Source organism: Homo sapiens, chromosome 12 (assembly GCF_000001405.40).
Source record: "Homo sapiens chromosome 12, GRCh38.p14 Primary Assembly".
In the NCBI taxonomy this organism is placed as follows: domain Eukaryota; kingdom Metazoa; phylum Chordata; class Mammalia; order Primates; family Hominidae; genus Homo; species Homo sapiens.
Genome location: NC_000012.12, coordinates 68,225,975 through 68,246,600, shown reverse-complemented (window position 1 = coordinate 68,246,600; position 20,626 = coordinate 68,225,975). Strand labels below are relative to the sequence as shown.

Here is a 20,626-nt window from a genome sequence, read left to right as displayed (position 1 = left end):
TGAACTCAGACAGCCTCAGAACAGTGAGTCTTCCCTTCCCTGCCCCTTCCCTGGGCTGGCGCCAGGTGGAGTTCTTCCTTTACCTTTTTCCTCGTATCTAGGCTGATCATCTAGCGTTAAGTGAGTACCTGGACTAATCATCCAAGTTAAGGTCCCCAAGTGGCTGAGAGGTCTTTACTAATAGGTAGGATGCCCCATTAGAAAGTGCACCCAAGTCCCCTTGGTGGATGCAAGTGGACCGCTTTTCATCTCGGTGGGATGCCCCAAGAGAAAATGCAGTTCAGTGTGAGGTTCCGTGATGTAGTGGTGAGTACTGGGAACTCTAAAAATGCAGTTCATGAGGCTCTGAGTGGTGTGTTTTCCAGTCCCGCCATGGGACAACCCCATCTATTCTTTCAGACTCACCTCTAGGCTGCATTCTAAAGCATTGGAACAAACTTAACCCTCAGACTCTCAAAAAGAAGCTTCTAATTTTCTTGTGTAATACAGCATGGCTCCTATGCAGGCAATCCTCAAATTAGCCTCCTTAGTCTTTATAACCAAAAGCAGAATAAAGAAAACAAAGCTAAGAAGAAAGAAAAAGACAGAGACAAGAGGCAGGCTTAACTGTTGGCTGCTTTACAAGTCCCCAACCCCCTCCAAGTTGCCCTAAGCACTCTCCTCCAGATAACCACCACTGGAGCAGAAGAGCAGGCAAGAAGAAAGGCAAACTGATCCAATGAAATAAAAGGAAAAAAGCCCCATATGGCTTGCCCCCTCTGCTGCAAGCTCCACCACTGGAAACGGGATTGCCCTGAGAGCCGAAGGGCCCCTGGAACAAAATCCCAACTCCTAATGGCCTTAAGCTGAAGGGGCTCTCGGCTCTGGCTGGAACAGGTCACCTTAGCTGGTGACGGGTGGAAGTGGGAGAAATTCGTCTCACACTGTGAAGTCTGGGGTGCTAAGGCTTTCCCTGATGGGAGATAAATGAAAGTGGTAGAGGTGCTGGCCCTGCTCCACAGGCTGTGCAGTGGCTGGAAGGCTCACAAGCCCTCCCATAAAACTTAACCTTTTCCTCTCCATTCTTTGCTTTTCTTTTTCTCTTTTTCTGTTCATTCCAGGGGTCCAGCCTTAAAAGGGAAAGACAGTTTCTAATGTCCTAACCCCTGATTTTGTCATTCTCTTTAAATCTCCAGCTGGTTACATATTATGGCCTGTTTCTGTGCACATTTTAAACTAATGGGCAAATTACAACGAGAAAACTTCAGAGCTCAAATGGTCAATCTGCACTACAGAGTTAAGTAGAGTCTCCTAAAGCTCTCTGTCTTCCCCCTCTTTTTTCTGCCTGCTTTAAATCTGCTGTTACTAAGCTGCCAGTGCTGAGATAAGACTCATTATTTATGGTCTAACTAGAATATAAACATTGAAAACTCATTTAAAGAAAAAAGGTAAAAGAGGTTTTGTTAAATCAAGCAGCCTAGAATTTTTAACCTCCTTAAAAGTTAATGAAAATAAATCCAACACCTCTTTTAAATACTACTCTTAAAGCGGCTCTTTTTATTCAATTTTACTGCAAGCTCTCAGTAATTATCCATCTGCCTCCCTTGAGCAGCTTCATGCTCTTAATATTAATGCTTTTATAAGGGAAATAGTACAAAATTGCTATTTGCAGGGAGACTTCCAAAACTACTACCCAGATGAAATTTCTTTCTTTCTTTTTTCTTTTTCTTTTTTGAGACGGAGTCTTGCTCTGTCACCCAGCCTGGAGTACAGTGGCACAATCTTGGCTCACTGCAACCTCCACCTCCCGGGTTCAAGTGATTCTCCCACCTCAGCCTCCTGAGTAGCTGGGACTACAGTCGCCTGCCACCATGCCCGGCTAATTTTTATATTTTTAATAGAAACAAGATTTCACCATGTTGGCCAGGCTGGTCTTGAACTCCTGGCCTCAAGTGATCAGCCCGCCTCAGCCTCCCAAAGTGCTGGGTTTACAGGTGTCAGGGCCGAAATTTCTTTATACTTGTCCTAGTAATGTTATTTACCCCTAAACCACAACATTGATGTGCTAAGATACTAGGTATTTGTTTAACTGTTTTTCTCATACTCTTTGCAGCCCTTCTTCTTTTCTAAGTTTACTATATATTGTCATTTTCCTTAAATATGGCTCTGTTTTGTTGGTGTCTATCATGGCTAACTATTGCCTCAATGGCTGCAACCAGGCACCTGCTCTACCCAGTAATATCTCAGGTTACTAACATACCACATCGTACTAACTGCTGGATATGCCCACATAGGCAGGCAGTCGAGAATAACATTACATTCCTAGCCATCCCACTCTCTAGAGAAGAAATGGCTACCATGCAAGCCCAATACTTGATACTCTGGATTTGACTACACTATGTACACGTACACCAAAAACACAGGTATAGGGGGGGCACCTAGGCCAATTGATCTCTCATGGCAATCATCCACTGTAACCCAGTGAATAGGGAAGGCACCAGAAATGGCCTGTAAAGTGAGACTTCAGAAACTCAGAAGGGCCTGGCCCTTTCCTAGGGGCTTTAACACAAGCCCATTGTAATTACACCTTCAACTATAAAGAGACACACCAGGAATGGGAGCTGTATGATGACTGATGAGTTCACCGAGGACCTCCACAGGTTTTCTCTATGGTGGGAAAACAACAAAGTTAATGCCAGCAAAATTTAAAATGATTCCTTTATGCCTGTAAATAGTTTAGCAACTGGGATGGAATATATAGGAATAGGGGTTGAAACTGGACAACTTCTTAACCTCACTAATACAGCTTTTCCTCGATTTTCCTTTAACCAATTAATATTTAGAACTCTTATCTGTCAGGCCCCATATTTACACAACACAACAAGTGAAACTTTGACTCCCTTATGTGTGGATAACTACTTTTTCGGTCATTGCCCGTTCACATTTAATCCCCGGGGACCATGAAATCCCCTTATTTATGCAAATTATACTGGAATCCAAACTGATCACGCCTATGCCTGGTTACAAAGTCCCTCCTTGGGAGTTTCATTAAAAGGAATTGGGTTCTTCTTTTTATGGGTATCCATCATGTTTCTAGCCTTGCCTATTAAGTGGATGGGCACCTGTACTACAGCTGCAGCCATACCTGGAGCGCATATATATAACTCCTCGAACTTCATAACCTCTGGCCAAGTTCCAAATTTGGTGTTCTTCCTAAGTGGAGCCCTCTAAAGATCATCAGAAGAAAGAAAACAAAAGTGGAACTTAACCTCCCACCATTTGGCATCCTTGCCACTGATAATCCCATTATGGAGAGAAATGGTCTAGAATATTCTATAGTCAGTGGACTCTTGGTTTGCAGGTATACCCATGCTCAAGCACAGCATTTGTAATCTCACTGATATGGTTTGGCTATGTCCCCACCAAAATCTCATCTTGAATTCCCACATGTTGTGGGAGGGACCCAGTGGGAGGTAATTGAATCATGGGTGCTGTTCTCTTGATAGTAGAATAAGTCTCACAAGATCTGATGGTTTTAAAAAGGGGAGTTTCCCTGCAAAAGCTCTCTTCTCTTGTCTGCTGCCATGTGAGGTGTGCCTTTCACTTTCTGCCATGGTTATAAGGCCTCCACAGCCACATGGAACTGTGAGTCCAATAAACCTCTTTCTTTTGTTAATTGCCCAGTCTGAGGTATCTCTTTATCAGAAGCAGGAAAACAGACTAATACACTCACCATCTTAGTCCAGCAATCTTGGAAACCTAAAGTCACAGCCATTGAGGCCCAGAAACAGGCCCTAATTTCATTGTCAGGGGTTGTCCTGCAGAATCAACATGCTTTAGATGTGCTTACCACCAAGGCAGGAGGCACTTGTGTGCTGTTAAGTGAAACCTGCTGCTTTTACATCAATACTTCAGGTCAAATAGAAGAAAGTTTAAAAAAGGTAAAAGAGAATATCAAGGTATCAGAGGGCCTTCAAAAAAGAGTTCGTCAAGATTTTTTTTTTGGCACAACTATTCAAAATTTCTCCAGCTGGGTTTGGCCATGGGTTGCCCAACTTCTCCCCCCTATAATAATGTTCATATTAGTTTGTTTACTTGCACCACATATTTTTACTGCAATATCTCATGTTGCGTCTTCTAGAATACAATAATCTCAAACCAAAATGTTACTGCAGCGAGGGATATCAGCTTCTAAAAGAACTCCATGACTCTCCTTTGGATGCAGCAGAACAAAATTTTAGGCTGCAAATGCGGTTCCCCCATAGTCTCACAGCAACCCGGCTCAATTTAAGTCCTAACTTAGGGATTTAGACCCATGGAACCTCCTAACTGAGCAGCAATCCTAGGTAGGGCCAACTCTTCACTTCTGGTCAGCAGGAAGCAGTTGGAAGATGAGACCTTCACTCACATGCCAAAGATTTGTCATTCTTGCTCTGTTAGGGGGGGAATGTGAAGTCCTAATTAAGGAAAAGGAGTTAGGCTGGTGGGACTGAGGGAAAGCAAAAAAAGCAAGTAGATAAGCTATAAAGTCTGCTTTTCTTCATGGTCCAGGACATATAGCCCTCCTGTGCCCAGCTTACCACCAGACACCGGCGAGTTAGCTCCCTGCAGCCTTGGCGTTATCAGTACTGCAGGCAGCACTCTTCGGCCCACGTTCCAGTCTACAAAATCCCCAGCAAGCCTTTGTTTCCCGGCAGTTAGCCCGTCTTTTACTAACTTGCCCATTGCACTCTTGCAACATATTATCATACTTTCTCTAATAAATCTGCCTTTCTTTACCTACAACTGTCTTGGTAAGTTCTTTTACCACCTGTACCATGGGCCTCAGATAGTTGCTGCTCACCCATGGCAGGTTCCAAATGCTGAGAGGCACTGATGTTCCCTTTCAGGGATGATAGAATTATAATATTTTTTTTTCTGTGATTAGCTGAGGTTAAGGAGTCTTTCCTTTTCCAAATGAGTCTCCATGTAATGACTAGAGCAAAAGTTGATATCATATTTTTTTTGGCCAGTCTTCTGGAAACTGAGCTATAAGTGGAAGAATATTTACCCCTAAAATTGGAAGGTAAGAAACTGAGAGACTTTATATTCTGATATATTTCAGAAGTAGCTAGAGTCAACCTTGGTTTTTCCTTCCCTAACCCTGCACATTGAATGTGTCAGAAGTCCTGTTTGCTCTAACTCCAAAGTAACGGCTGAATCTGTTCACTTCTCATTCTGGCTAAAGCCCATCCATGCCACTATCATCTGTCCTCTAAATTACCATAGTATTGAAGTTTCTAAAGTTCCTCCTACTGTCTGTTTTTAACTCAGGAGCCAAAGTAAACTTACAAATTAAAAACAGTAGATTGGGCACATCCTGGCTTCCCCTAAGGGCTTCCCTTCACAGTGAGAATGAAACTGAAAGTTTATATCATCACCCCACCTCTGCAGTCTCATCTGCTATCACCCTTCCCTTGAGCTCTCTGCTGCAGTCACAAGGCCTACCGGCTGGTCCTCACATGCACCAGTCTAGCTCCTGACAAGGAGTCTTTGCACTGGCTGTTTTCCTAAGCCCAGAACAATCTTCCCACTAATATTTCATGATAATTCCCTCCCTTCATTCAGGTCCTGCTCAAATGTTACTGCCTCAGAAAGATCTATGCTGGCCACCCTATCAAACACAACCTCTTCACCACCCTCCACACCCTCCCCTCCCCTCCCATCACCCCACTTCATTTTTCTTTGTTGTACTTAGCACATATGAAATTAGTTATTTATTTACTTTGGCCACTTATTTAATTTTCAGTATGTACTTATTGGGTGTTAACCTGATGCCATGGGGTGTGAAGGTAAACATCATACGTACAGAGCCCGTGTCCTCATAGAACTTGCATTCTAATGTAAATATAACAGAGGACATATAGTATAATAACAAGCATGGATATCTGCTATGAAGAAAAACAAAGTAGGGCGTGGGGGTAGAACTTAATGGGGGTTAATTTAGGTAAGGAGATCAGGGAAGGCCTCTTGGAGGGCAGATATCTGAATGAGGTGGGGACATGGGCCATGTGAATATCTGGGGATATCACCTTGAGATGAGGCAAGTTTGGCGTATTCAAGAAGTAGCAAGAAGGTTGGGACTGGAGTAGCCTGGGTAAAGGGCAAAGCTTAAGATGAGCCCAACATTTGACTAGGACCAGGTATGTGTGTCTTTGCAAGCTAGAGCAGGACTTTGGATTTTGTTCTAAGGCTGAGGAAAAGCCACCAGAGGGTTTCAAGCATGAGGAAGGCTTGGTATGACTCATGTTTTGTAAAGATCACTCTGGTTGATAATGCAGAGTAAATCTAGGAGGAGTAAGGATAGAAGCAAGGCCAGGACGAGAGTCTAGGAAAGAAGCAATGATTGCATTGGAGTGGAAGGGAGCAGAGCCAGAGAAATCTGGCTTGTGACTCTTACTGTGACACTCAGCATGGGTTGCCTGGGAAATAGGAGTTATGTATGAATCACATTCACAAACAGGAAAAGAAATTCTTTAGTGTTTCTTCTGGTTCTTCATTTATACTATATTATTCACTAGCAGAAAGTGCTCCGTATAGGAATTGAAGGAAGACAGGTGATTTTTTCTGAAAGGAAGTTTTTAAGATTTGAGTGAAGACACTTAGATGAGGAGAATGAAGTAATACCAAGGGTTGAAGGCTGAAGTCCTCTTGTCTCGGAGGCAAACACAGCCTCAGTGAATTTATCTTCTGCCTGAACCGAGGAGATTCACTGGATTTTTCTTGTAACAGCCCCTTGTTCAGGAGTATTTTCATTGGAAAATTGCATCAACTCAGAAGAGACAGAATCATTAAGCATTCCGTTTCTATGGGAATGAGGGTTTAAGTCACTTTACCAGGCAAAGGACTCCATTCTACTGTGGTACAGGCAGAGGGTAAGGGAAAAATAAAGCGGTGGTGGAAGAAAGAATCCACACTTGTTAACTTGGGTCTTTCGAATTGCTATAAAAGCAGGAGCTGTAGCAGATAGGATTTCTGTTCATTGTTTGTCTTCTCCCCTCCTTTCCTCCCTTTTATTTGAAGAGTACTTGTGGTGGCTAATATTTTTGTTTTCAGGTGGGAATATGACCACAATGACATCATCCTATAATGATATGGTAGCTGATGAGATTCTATATGTTTCCTAGGCTGCCAATACACATTTTTCACCTGGATAAAGATAAGAGTGGATGCTGAAGACACAAGGGATGCAAGGTGTCCATCTGGCCCTCCAGATCCATATTCTGTACTTTTCCACTCTACTTGGTGCCCAAAGAGGCTGACGTATATGGATTGGTTCATATACATGCAAGCTCCCTGGCTTTTGATTGTATTTGGCTAATGGAAGAAGTACCGGGAGATCGAAGGGTGGGCTGGGGGGTGGGGAGGATAAGGTCAGAGTATCTAATCCCTTGGAGCTCTCCTGCCAGGCTGCCATGCTGGTTGGCTATGTACTTCTACCAAAAGCCTCAGCTCTTGCAGACAGCCCTTCTCCATATAGATATCTTTGTTAGTTCTGAAAACCACTCTCAACCCTTACTTCAACAGCCAGCTAGCTGTTGTTAGTCTCAGGGAATTGCACTATTTCTTGTTGGTTTCCTTGAGCTCTTTCCACACCTGTTATGGTTTGAATGTTTGTGTTCCCTCCAAGATTCATGTTGAAACTTTATCTCCAATGCAATAGTATTAAGATGTGGGACCTTTAGGAGGTGATTAAGTCATGAGGGGTTCTCCCTCCTGAATGGGATTCAGACCCTTTTAAAAGAAACTCCACACAGCGTTAGGCCCTTTTTTTTCCATTCCACCTTCACCCTGTGAGGACACAGCATTCGTCTTCTCTGGAGAATGAACAACAAGGCGCCATCTTGGAAGCAGAGAGAGAGCCAGCCCTCACCAAACACCAAACCTGCTGGCACCCTGATCTTGGACTTCCCAGCCTCCAGAACTGTGAGAAATAAATGTCTGTTCTTTATAAATTATCTGGTCTGTGGTATTTTGTTATAGCAGCACACACTAACACAATGCCTTAAGAAAATCAATCTATTATTAAACTCTTATCCATTCCCCAGTTTGAACGTAGCATACATTTTCTACTGGGACTCTGCCCTATTTACTCTTCTTCCCCCTTCCATTTCCCGCCCCTCCCCAACTCCCACCCAGCAGCAGGATGGAGTCTGGGAATTTAGGTGAAATCATTTATGGACAATAAATAAAACCAATTTTGGGTGTGTCTGAGTCGTGTGTAAATTTTTGATCCTGTAACAAAACAAACTTGGAAACAACAGTATTTTGATTTCTAAAATTTAAATACTGTTTAATATTTTGTTTTCCTGTTTCTCCAACAGTTTTCTCCACAAAGAAGTAGAGGTGCTGAGGCCAATGTGCACTATCGCCTACAGGAGCCTAAAATTCCCTTCTGCCCCTCAGTCCCAGGAGTGCCCTTGCTCCTTTCTGTGTTTGCTCTTCCCTCTCTGCAGCATCCAAGGGCATTCATAGGAATCTTTGTTTAATTTGGGCTACTATGCAAGCTACAGGATGAGAGATTCTTTCACTGGAATAATTCTGACTCCTCTTAACCTTGCATTTTGGCTGATTCTGTTGTGTGTGGCCCATCTTCCTCCTCTTTTCTTGTTACAGCTACTAAAAATATTCAGGGTGACCCAACGTGTTTCTATTAGTCACAGTCCCTTCATTGTTTCTATGGGGCTTAACCATCTGGGTTCATTCTCTGCATCTTGAATCTTATGTTAGCCATGTGTGTGCAGTTTAATCTCTATAGCACCTAGAAATTGACCAGCTGAGTCCTTACCAGTAGGCACTGTTTCTTTTTGAAATTCACAGGCTGTGAGGTGCTTTTGTGAGCTGTTCTTTCATCTGTGACATTTTCATCTTGCCATCGCCACAGATGCTATTTTTAAGCACAGTAACTGCCCAGGAATTTTAGAACTCTTACATTGCTGCTTGTCTCAGTGAAAGCCTTAGAAATTTCAATTCAATTTAGTTCCTAAACGATTTTTTAGATCATAGGATATACAAGATCCTGTGGGATGGGCTTTGAAAACACAAGGTCAGATTTTATTTGGATGCTGCCCTGAAGGAGTCTGCAGTTGTCTTGCGAGGAAGACAGGCATGCAACAGCCTAGGGCACAAGTGGACTGACATGTGCTACCAGTGAGGCACCAACAAGATGACAATCATCATTGGGAAGGCACCGAAGGTTGCATTTAAGCTGATCTTTTGGAGGACAAGAAGGATTTAAATGGGTTCAAATGACAACACTGTGAAATTTCCCTTTTTTCTTCCCCTTTGCAATCCAGCCGTAGTTAATTGCTCCATCTTCAGGGCTCTCAAGGTATAATTTACATCTCTCTTAGCATTTATCACACTGTAGTTTAATCCCTTGTTATGTGTCTATCTTGAGAATTTTTAAGGACAGAAACTGTTGCCTACATTTAAGCCCCTATACCCTGAAAATGCCTGGCACTTTATAGGTGCTCAGTAAATGCTTGAGATGGATACACAAAGGATTGAATGGCTTTCTGGACCCAAGGACCCAGATGAGCAAAGAGTTGGGGATGTGAAAGTGGATAGAGTGCTCAGGCGAGGGCCACAAGTCCGTGTGGCTAGAGCACAGCTTGTGTGGGCAATGCAGTGGGAAACGGCCAGTAGCTGGTAACATTAATTCTCTTCAGTTTTCTATTTCTAGTCCCTGGAAACGCAGTTCTTGATGGGACTTATGCAAAGGGAGCTTGGTGGACTAACAGGATTTGGGCTCATACCGGGCCTCAGCCCCTAACCTGCTACAGGCTGATATGACAATTCCATCAACGCTGTGTACTTTCACTTTCTCTTTGGTGAGTTTAGGCAGCTGATACTCATGAAAACTTCCCACCACCAGGTGCTCACAGGAATGATACGAAAGCTGGTGCCACTGATGGTGTGGAGTAAAATCCATTCAAAAAACTAAATACACAGCAATTAAGTTGTTTCTGACACAGCCAGACAAGAGGTGTTCCCTCAAAGGGAACACTCAAACTGTAGGAGACCCAACTACAGCCTAGTTGGATTGCTTTTATTGATAATTGCTGACATGTGAAGGCTGCTAGGAACCCTGCGGTTTAAAGCCATGGTTGAATCATCTTGAGCTTTCTTCCCATGGTTTTGCCAAACTCTCCAGGCTTTCATCTTCAGAAGGTTGTTCCAATGGGGCTTGTCTACAGAGTGCATGTGATCTGCTCTTCACTGCCCCAGAACCTTTGCATGGAAAATTCCTTGTCCTTAAAATGAGAAGTACACCTATCCTCATGGAGAAATTAAATCACTTCCATCTTGGCTGGAAGAATAATTGTTTAAATTGAATTTTAATGATACTCAGAAATGAAAAATAAGGTGCACCGCGACCAAGCTCCTCTCCCTCTCCCCAGGCGGGGAGCCCAGGGAGATGCTGATTTGCCCTCCCTCCAAATGGACCTGCCCTATAGGCAGAAATCCCCTCATAATCTGTTTGGTCAAATATGTCTCATATGTTCATTCTGATCATTGGCTTAGATTAGGAATGGACAAGATTTTTGTTTGTTAAAGGAAAAATAGTAAATATTTTAGGCTTTGTGGGCCACATATGGTCTTTGTTGTATATTTCTTCTTCTTCCCCTCCTTGTCTTTCTCTTCTTCCTCCTTCTCCTCCTCTTCTTTTCCCCTACTCCTTCTCCTCCCGCCTTATCTTCCTTCCTCCTTCTCCTTCTTCTCAGCCCCTTAAAAGTGTAAATACCCTTCTTAGCTCATAAGCCTTACAAAAACCAGCTACAGGCCAGATTTGCGTCATGATTTGCTGACTTTGGGCTTAGATCATCCACAGTTCATCTCCTGGCACTACACACACTGACACCCAAACAAAATTCCATGATTAAGATTAAAAGACATTGGTTTTGTGGGCAACTATTAAGATCTGTTATGAGGGCAACTATTAAGATCTGTTATGAGTGGCAGATGGCAGATAAATTCAGCACTGGGTGTGACCCAGAGTTAACAAAAATTGCATTAAATTTCCATATCAACCACAGTTGTTATTGCAGAACAATAAAATAAAATCGTGACTATCGTAGCATTTTATCTTGTTAGCCATTTTATAAATAGGGCGTGTTAGGTTTACAGCAAAACTGAACAGAAGGTACAGAGATTTCCCATAAACACCCTCTGTCCCATGGATGCATAGACTACCCCATGATCAGCATCTCCCACCAGAGTGATATGTTTGTTATATTGATGAACCTACCTTGCTGTTAGCCATTTTTGATAACAATAAGTTTTTTTTTATTACAATAGACAATAAATCTCTGTATCATCATGGGAACCATCTCAGATTCTCTTGGTCTGTCTTGCTCCACTGCTGCCACTGCAGTGATCATCTCTGGCTCTTTCTTCCACTCTGGACTCAGATAAAGTGCCATGGAATAGGTTGTGGAATTTACCTTCCCCTTGGCTGCTAAAGAGAGCAGGTACCATCCAGAGGTTGAAGAAGTTAACTCCTCCTAGAGCAGGCGAGGAAGCTGGCATCTAACTTTCATTCCCCTCTCTCCTTCCCCTGGTCTGACCCAAGGCATGCTTCTGCATAGCCTTTGTGGAGACATCCTACATGGCCAAGAGGCTGGCTGTCTCTCTTCATAAAGCACTGGCTAGATCACTTATGCATTGCCATGAACTTGCTCCCCATCCTGGTTGACCTAATTTCTTTTTTCCATCACTCTCACTCTTCCCTAATAGAGCTTCAGCACAGAAACTTATCCTCATGCTCTATCTTCTGGGGAACCTGGGCTGAGCCAATTTCCTATGTGAATCTAAGCTCCATAACGGTAAGAGTTTGTAGGGGGGGCAAGGGATGGGGGTAAGGGGCATAGACAAGATATCTCTTGGCACCTAGTAGAGGCTCAACACATAATTTTTATTTTGCATTTTGAAAGAATTAATAAATGCATTGATTCAGGGCACAACCCATGGAAGACATGAGCACTGACAAGTTTGCTAGAAGAACTGGACACCTCTTATTAGTGGATTCCCACCATCAGAGAGCACCTAGGCCTGTAATACAAAGAAACACAGACATATTTAACTGCAGTAAAGGGAACAGATGGTGTGTAGGAAGTTATGAGAGAAAAGATGCAGAGAGAGAGAGAGAAGAAAAGTCATCGGCATCAGCCAACACAGGGCTGCACTAGAGGCTCCTATCTAACCCAGACACTCAGCTCATCTGCCCTCCTACCCTCTGCTTTGGTTTGAAATGCAGAGGAGAGACAGGAAACAATGATGAAGGCAGGGGAGGGGATGCCCACTGTGGGTTCTGTAGATGTCTAAGGCAAAATTAGGAGATAAAGAACTATTTGTGGCTGCCCAATCTCAGAAGAGGATCAAGAAGAAGCTTCCAGAGAAGCCCTCCGAAAGCAGAGCTCATCATTTTATGCCAAATGTCCCCACATTTCTTCTTCCTCCTCCTCATGGCCCAAATAGCCCTATAGTCTATTTTGTCCCACAGGGCATTCTGTGGTGATGGTAGGGAGGTGTCTCCGGTAACCCGATGGTATTTATTGGGCACATACCATGGACCAGTCACTGTTTGGAACTGAGGTAACAGCAACGAACAAGCAGACAAAAATCCTTGCTCCGATAGAGCTTAGATTTTAGCAAAGGGAGATAAATAGCAAACAAAATGCACAAATGAAATATATCATATGTTAGATAATGATAACGGCTTTGGAGAAAATAAAACAAAAAAAAGAGATAGAGGGAGTGGGAGTCGGGTGAATCCTAATTAGGGCATTGTATTCGTTTGCTAGGGCTGCCACCACAAAGCCCCACACACTGGGTGGCTTAAATAACAGAAAGCTATCCTCTCACAGTTCTGGAGGCTACAAGTCTGACATCACAATGTCGGCAGGGTTGGTTCCTGCTGAGTCCTCTCTCCTTGGCTTGTAGATGGCCCCTCCTTGTGTCTTCAGTTGGTCTTCCCTCTCTACCTGTGCCCTCATCTCCTCTTCTAATAAGGACTCCCGTCATACTGCATTAGGGCACAACCTAGTGACCTCATTTTTAACTTTATCACCTCTTTAAAGATCCTATCTTCAAATCTAGTCACAGTCACATTCTGAGAAGCCGAGGGTTAGGACCTTAACATAAGAATTTGAGGGCATGGAGGACGACACATGCGCCCCATGCCTCCTTTGGCCTATAATAGGCATCCAGGAAAAGCACTGCTGGGAAGGTGATATTTCAGCAAGGACTTGAAAGAGTTGAAAGGGCTTGCTAACTATACAGAAAAGCATTTCAGACAGAGGGAACAGCAAGTGCAAACGCTCTGAGACACAGGCCTGCTCCATGGGCCTCACAAGAGTGAGGAGCCTATTGTGCTGGACTAGGTGAGCCAGGAGGAGGAATAGGAATAGAGGTTGGGGGGCAGGGAGGGTTAGGGGTAAGGAGCATAGGCAAGATAGGATAGGTCCTTAGGCCGCAGAAAGGATATTGGCTTTTACTCTGGGTTGGAGGGGGATCCTTAAGGGAGAAATCGCATTCCTGGTGCCCTGAAAGTTCAGGCTCAAATTCATTGCTCAGCCCAAGCAGAGTCTATCACATGCTCACGTTGACTGCCTCAGGGACACGGGTCAAAGAGCTGAAGCAACAATTAATGTGTTTTGACAGAAAAGATACATCTATTTCTAGAGCTCTCACAATTGTGACTTCTAAACATCACCTCAATTCTTGATGTTATTACTGTGAACCTTCTTGTTGATGTACTTAGAAAATGAAATGGAAAGGTTATTTTGATGTCACCTGTGCTTTGATAAAACTTGGGAGGCTTTGTGCACTGTGCGTTCTTTTCTCCTTTTTCTTTTGCTGGGCTAAGAGTGAAGATGAAAACAGCAGGGAAGCTATTTTCCATCACCTTTGGTGTGAGCGATGATGGGCAATCTGCTGACTTATTTTTGAAATATAGTTAGGGTACCATATTCTTTGCAGATCATGTAGATGGTGTACTATTCATTGTCAGAGAACGAGTAGCCAATATGTATAATGCCAGTTTGTCAAATCTGAAAATGCTAAAATAACCCCAAACCTATAAAGCTATGAAGAGTATTGATATATTGCAATAATAGCTATTTGAGCATACAAAATTTTCCTCAAAGGTAGGTTTATTCTCACACTGCCTATAAGGATATTTTGGAATGATACATATGTAATGTTTACTTATTAATCCAGAGGCAAGATGGTACTGTGGGAATACCGTTGGGTTTGTTGTTCAAAGACATGGGTCAAGGCCCAGGTTTGTTACCTCCTGGCTTTGTGCCTTCAGGCAGGTCACACAACCTCTGTCAGTATCGGCTTTCCCACCTGTAAACTGGAGAAAACAAGATCCCCTCTACTTCTTATAGCAGGATTGGGAAGATCAAGTAAAGAGGTGGCTTTGGGAAGTACTATTTACAATTAGATATTGTTATAATATATATGCAAGAGCTTTAAAATACCATAAACATTTAAGTTTTACTATTCCTTAGGTATTTCCTATTTTCATTTCTTCCTTTTTTCTTAGGTTACTGTCCCATCTCTTATTTTCTGTAGTGCCTACCACAGCTTCAGACATTCCTTGGGAACTGCTCTAATGTGGTGGGAGGCTGCACAGACAGTGGGAAACACGTGGGCTTTGGAGTTTCATGAACATGGATTGGAATCCTCTGCCACTTTTGAGCTGTGTGCCACTGGGCGTGTGATGAGACTTCCCTGCAGCTCAGATTCTTCCTCTAAAATGGAGCAATGCCAGCTGCTTTAAGAACTAACAACATTCTCAAACGTAATAGGAAATCTTTGGTTGTGCCTGTATTTTAGGAAACAAAAATTGTCTCCCCCCAACTGCCTGTGGAATATTAAGTCATCACTCATGACATTCAAGGTGTCTCTTAATTCCACTAATTTCTGGTTCAACAAACAAGTGACTAGTTCATGATTTCACCTCTTAAAAAAGCATTTAAATGGATCTAAATATGTTTTAAAAGCTGGATGAGGTATGAGTCTCTGCTTCTTAAGCATGTTTTTCTAGAGCTACTAAAAAGCTTACATTAACAGTATAGTTGAAAAAGTATTCTTCTGGATTATAGAAGAAGGGAAGTACCAGATAAGACTTGGTAGAGATATGACTCAGGTGTAGCTTCTCTCTCTACTGCTGCATCTGTGGTGAGGCTCTTCTTTTCTTTTGTTTTTTTGCTTTCTTGCTTTCTTGCTTTCTTGCTCTCTCTTTCCTTCCTTCTTCCCTCCCTCCTTCCCTTCCTCCTCTCCTCCTCCTTTTTTTAACAGTTGAGATGAAATTCACCTAACATAAAATTAACCATTTAAAAGCGAACAATTCATTGGTATTTAGTACGTTCATAATGTTGTGCAACCATCACCTTTATCTAGTTCCAAAATATTTTCATTACCCTCAAAGAAAACCCCATACCATTAAGCAGTTACTCCCCATTCTGCACTCCTCCCAGCCCTGGGCAACCAACTTTCTGTTACCTGTCTCTGTGTACTCATTTATTCTGGATATTTCATATAAGTGGAATCACACAATATGTGACCTGTTGAGGCTAGTGTTCTTCACTTAGTATAGTGTTTTCAGGATTATCCATGTTATAGCCTGTATCAGTACTTCATTTAAAAAATGTTTGAATAATCTTCATATATATATTATATATACCACAACTGGTTTATCCATCCATTCATTAATGGACGTTTGAGTCTTATTTTCTTTTTTAAAGAATATAAGTCAAATGATAGAACTCCTCTACTCAAAATTCCCATATAACATGAGTAGAAGCTAAAGTCCTATCAACAGCCTAAAAGGCTCTGCATGATCTTCATCCGTTTCTTCCCTGGCCTGACATCCTCCCCGTCCTCCTCCGTTGCTCTAGAACAATCCACACAACCTTTCTAGCTACAGTGAACCTGCTAAGCATGCTGTTTCTCTTAGCCTATTGCAGTGACAGTTGCTTTTGGCTGAAACAGGTAACTCCATTGCTCACTCCCTTACTCCATTCGTGATGTTACTTAAATGTTCCCTTTGCATTGAGGCCTTGTATGACCATCTATTTACAATCATCTCCTATCTCAGCACCTCCACCTCTCTTACTCTAGTCTATCTTTCTCAAAACATGTAGTATTTTCCAACAGTCTATATCGTACTTAAGGGATATAACTTACATCTATTATGTTTATTTATTGTCTGTCTGTTCCCCCACCCCACTAGAACATTTTATGAAATTAAGAATTTTGTGTGTTTTGTTTATTAATGCATCTGTGGCCCTAGTGCAGCCTGGAAGGTAATGAATACTCAATAAGTATTTGATGAATGGCTGTGTTAATGATGACATGTGCAAACCTGCAGAGTACAAGTCAGCTAGCCAAGGGCCAGGACACACAGGTGGAGGCTCTCAGGGAATGTTCATGTGCTCCTCCCCATCATACCCTTCTGCTTATCCAGCTTCCACGTCTCCTTTCCTTCCTCTCCAGTCCATTTACAACACTCCTCATTCCTTCTCTAACCTGTTCTCATCACGATGGTAAACAGGTTTACCATTCTGTTGGTTACCAGGCTTACCATTGTCCAATGTAGTGGGGCCTATCTTTTCTGGAGAGGCAAAACCACAGTATCTTTGCATCAAACATATTTATCTATCTATCACTGTTTCTTATCTACATCCTCTGGCTCTATTCTGGAAAAAATATATTGAATTTCAGTTTTTATAGTATGATTATATAAACATAGATCCATGTACTTCTTATGCACAGCTGCATTGATTTTAGGATTTAGGATCCTAAGAAATTATGCCAATCACTGAGATCATTAAATAACATATTTCAACCAATGTAAGATGTTGTACACTGGAAATTGCACCACTACTTTGTTTACCACTAATAAAGGAAAAAGTGCTACTAATTAAACTATGATGCATTTCTTTCTTAAGATTTAGCACTTGATTTTTGCTTTTCAAATAAATATGTAATTTTGGTCATTTCTCCAAAAACAAATATTTACTTTTCTAATATCAAATTTGTGCCCCACTGCTGTTCTGTGTCTTTCTATGAACATATTAACATTTGTTTTAATGCGGAATCATAATCTTTCTGAAGACCTTTTAAGTAGCAATTAAACACCTGTAGTAACAACCATGCACACAGTTCAAGTGAAGTGATGTCATCATTAGTGGTTGTGACCAAGTTCAGGACTGCGCAGGTGGGGATAACTGTGGATTACAATGCACACTGTCATTTAAGAGACATTAAAATGTAAAAAAAAAAAAAAAAAAGGTGTGTTTCAGTGTCAACCAAATAGGTTAGTAACAACAATTAGTTGTTGTTTTTTCCCCATAGGAGGAAAGCAGATAAAAAGCGGTGTCACTGAAGACTCGAAGTGAGCTAAGATTCTGCACAGGAGTTGGTGAGCTGAGTTTGCTCATGGGCTACACTGGGCCATCAGAGAGGGCAGCTGGCATTCTTTTGGGTGGGAGAGGACTTAAACTTTAAGGAAAATGACCGCCATGCTGGCTTTTGGAAATTGGGGCAGTCAATTATATTTTTGGCAGATCAATTGTTTGAATATTCTCCTGTACATTACACAAGAGTGGCCTCCCTAAAATATCCTCTTAATGGTCCAAGTTCACCCTCTGGATGTGTGTGGGATTAACTCAATTCCTTATGCCTATGTATTTTTTTGGACATATTGTCAGATTTTTGCATTTCCTTCACTTTTCTCACTTTCTTCAACCATTTCTGAAGGCTCCTGAAGGCTCATGATAAACTTTAACATTATTCAGAGTATTACACATGCATTTCTTATTTATTATTTCATAAATAATAAATCAGTAGCTACCACTTCCAGAGTGCCTCTACAGCTGTCATTGTGCTAGACATTCTATTTAGATTACGGTATTTTTGCTCACGACAACCCTCTGTAGTTAGGTGTGATTATTGTTCCATTTTAATGATGACAAAAACGGAAGCCCAGAGAGGACTAATAACTTCCCCAAGGCCATACAGAATCAGAGTGAATCAGAGTTTTGAAACCCAATCTCTTTGTAATTAATACCAACTTTTATACTTTCTGTGTAAGTTACTTATGAAAGTGGTTGGGCGCGGTGGCTCATGCCTGTAATCCCGGCACTTTGGGAGGCCAAGGCGGGTGGATCACGAGGTCAGGAGATCGAGACCATCCTGGCCAACACGGTGAAACCCCATCTCTATTAAAATGCAAAAAATTAGCTGGGCATCAGGGTGCGTGCCTGTAGTCCCAGCTACTCTGGAGGCTGAGGCAGGAGAATCACTTGAACCTGGGAGGCAGATACTGCAGTGAGCTGAGATGGTGCCACTGCACTCCAGCCTGGTGACAGAGCGAGACTCCGTGTCAAAAAAAAAAAAAAAAAAAGATACTCATGAAAGCGATATAATAAATATACATTCAGTGAAGCAGAGAATTATCTTTTCAGTTGGTGCTCCTACAGTATTATGCATTTATTCTAATGGCTCTTCTGTTATTTAGGACACTTTGGGGGCTCCTCTTTGGAACTGTGTTCAGGGCCCATGTTTTGAACGTCCTTTTTAGTGGCCACTATTTACTCTTTGAGATCAGATCTTCCTGCTTATCAAAGGACCCTAATGAGGCAGGTTTGCTGACTAAGATGGAGGATGACTGTGATCCAGTGGGTGATATGGTCATTCATACAGAAATGGCCACAGTTTTCTTGAGTTGGCTGCAAACCAAAGCAGAGGCATTCTAGGACTATATATGGATTTTCCTTGTGTGATGATGATTTGAGGGATGTAAGGTATTTATGGAAATGTAACTACCAGAAGTTAAAAAATAGCCAGAACCCACATCAACTTAATTTATCAATATTAGCCACTTGAGTTATCAATATTAGCCACAAGTTTTGTTGGTACACACCAGGGATCTGAAATTGGCTGCTCACGGCAGTATATGGCTCTGGGAGGTGTTTTGTGTCATCCTTTTATTGCACTCTGTGTTTATAGCACAGTGTGTTAACAGGCTATGTGATTAGACAGACTTTAAGACTGGTGACCATATAAGCATATTAGCCGCAATTATCTGGTATCTACCCACCCAGTGTGTTTGTATTAATCCTCGCCCTCTAAGGGCATTTGAGCTTTTGATCCCTCCAAGTTCACACTGTTTCTTTCCAAAGGAACTTATAATACTAGGCATTCCTCTGCTCAAATAAATAAATAAATAAATAAATAAATCCCTTTGTGTATTTCATGTCCTAGTTCAAACATCCTTTCAGCCACTCCCAACTGAAACGACTTCTTTCTTTTTCTGAATTTCATAAAATTTCAGTGAACTTCACTCAGCACTCCCAGTCAGCTGACTTCTGCTATAGTTTTTTTGTGAATAGTTCTCATCTCAATTGATAGGGTGTGTCGTTACCAGTGATCTTGCTCCTGGGGAAATAAGGCTTGGATTCTTCCAAGAGATCCACTCATGTTTTGAAACAGCAGACATCAGTCCAAGCATTTTTCTTATTTTCCCTTTTTCTTCTTGGTTGTTTTTTTTTTGTTTTTTTTTTGTTTTTTTTTTGTTTTTTTGACAGCCCTGCTTGCTTTCATTTGGAATTTAGTCTTGGGTTCTGATGCTTGTTATTGACTGACTAGTTTTGATGACTCTCTTAACTCACAACCAGATTTCTAGTGTTGACTTATCCCTGATACACATTAACTCTATTCATTCTAGGCTTTAGTGACCTATCTCTGCTTCTCAGAATATGACTCTGGGCTGCCCTCTTCTTATATTGGGGCTGCTACCCAGAATGAGCCATATTTACTGTCTAGGAAGAACTGGGACAGAAATGAGGATGGGAGTTTATGGAGAATCCTCCTTGGTGGCTCCCTCATACCTAGCACTGGTTTTTGTGTAGGCAAGTCTTTAATAAAAATGTGTGAATGGAAGAAATTTAAAAAATAAAGCAGTTATGGTAGCACGTCATGATGTGACAAAAGTATTTACTCAATTAATAATGGATGCACTTCTTTAGATGAGGTGCCATGGTAGATGCTGTATTCAAAGGTGAAAATATACGGTCTCTTTCTTCAAGGAATTTGCACTCTCCTGGAAGTTGGGAGTTATAAGGAAAGTCTGAGTGGTAAATTTGGACAGAGATGACAGAGAACTTATTACATTGTGGACCTTAGTCCCAGGTCCAGTTCCAAACATATCTTGAATATGTTAAGGGGAGTTACTGTTTCTGCACTGGAAATGTTCTCGCTGCTATCTGCAGAATAATGGCCTCTGGGGGAAGCTGGGTGAAGGATGTGGCAAGCAATAAACACAAGACCCATTTGAATCGTGAGCAGATTTCCTGGGGCTGCCCATTTCTACCCCCTTGTTAAATTTTTTCTGGGATTCTGGTTAGAAAAGGAGATTTTTCACATGGGGTTTAAAAAATTATGACACAGCCCCCTGGAAATCATCCTGTTTTTATTGGCATGCCTTTTAAAATAATGCAAGCTGCTGTGATAGGCAACTGAAATTCTGAATTCTTTTGGAAATGAGAACGCAATCTTACCAGTAAGGCTGAGCTTTTAAATAATGTCAGTT

At 41.9% G+C, this 20,626-nt stretch overlaps 1 annotated feature.

Annotated features, from left to right (window-relative positions):
• Positions 5,257 to 5,396: an enhancer, noted in NCBI's record as "active region_6633". NCBI's record gives its function as "activates an Ori minimal core promoter by ATAC-STARR-seq in GM12878 lymphoblastoid cells {active_cell/tissue: GM12878}" and the evidence as "EXISTENCE:reporter gene assay evidence [ECO:0000049][PMID:35858748]".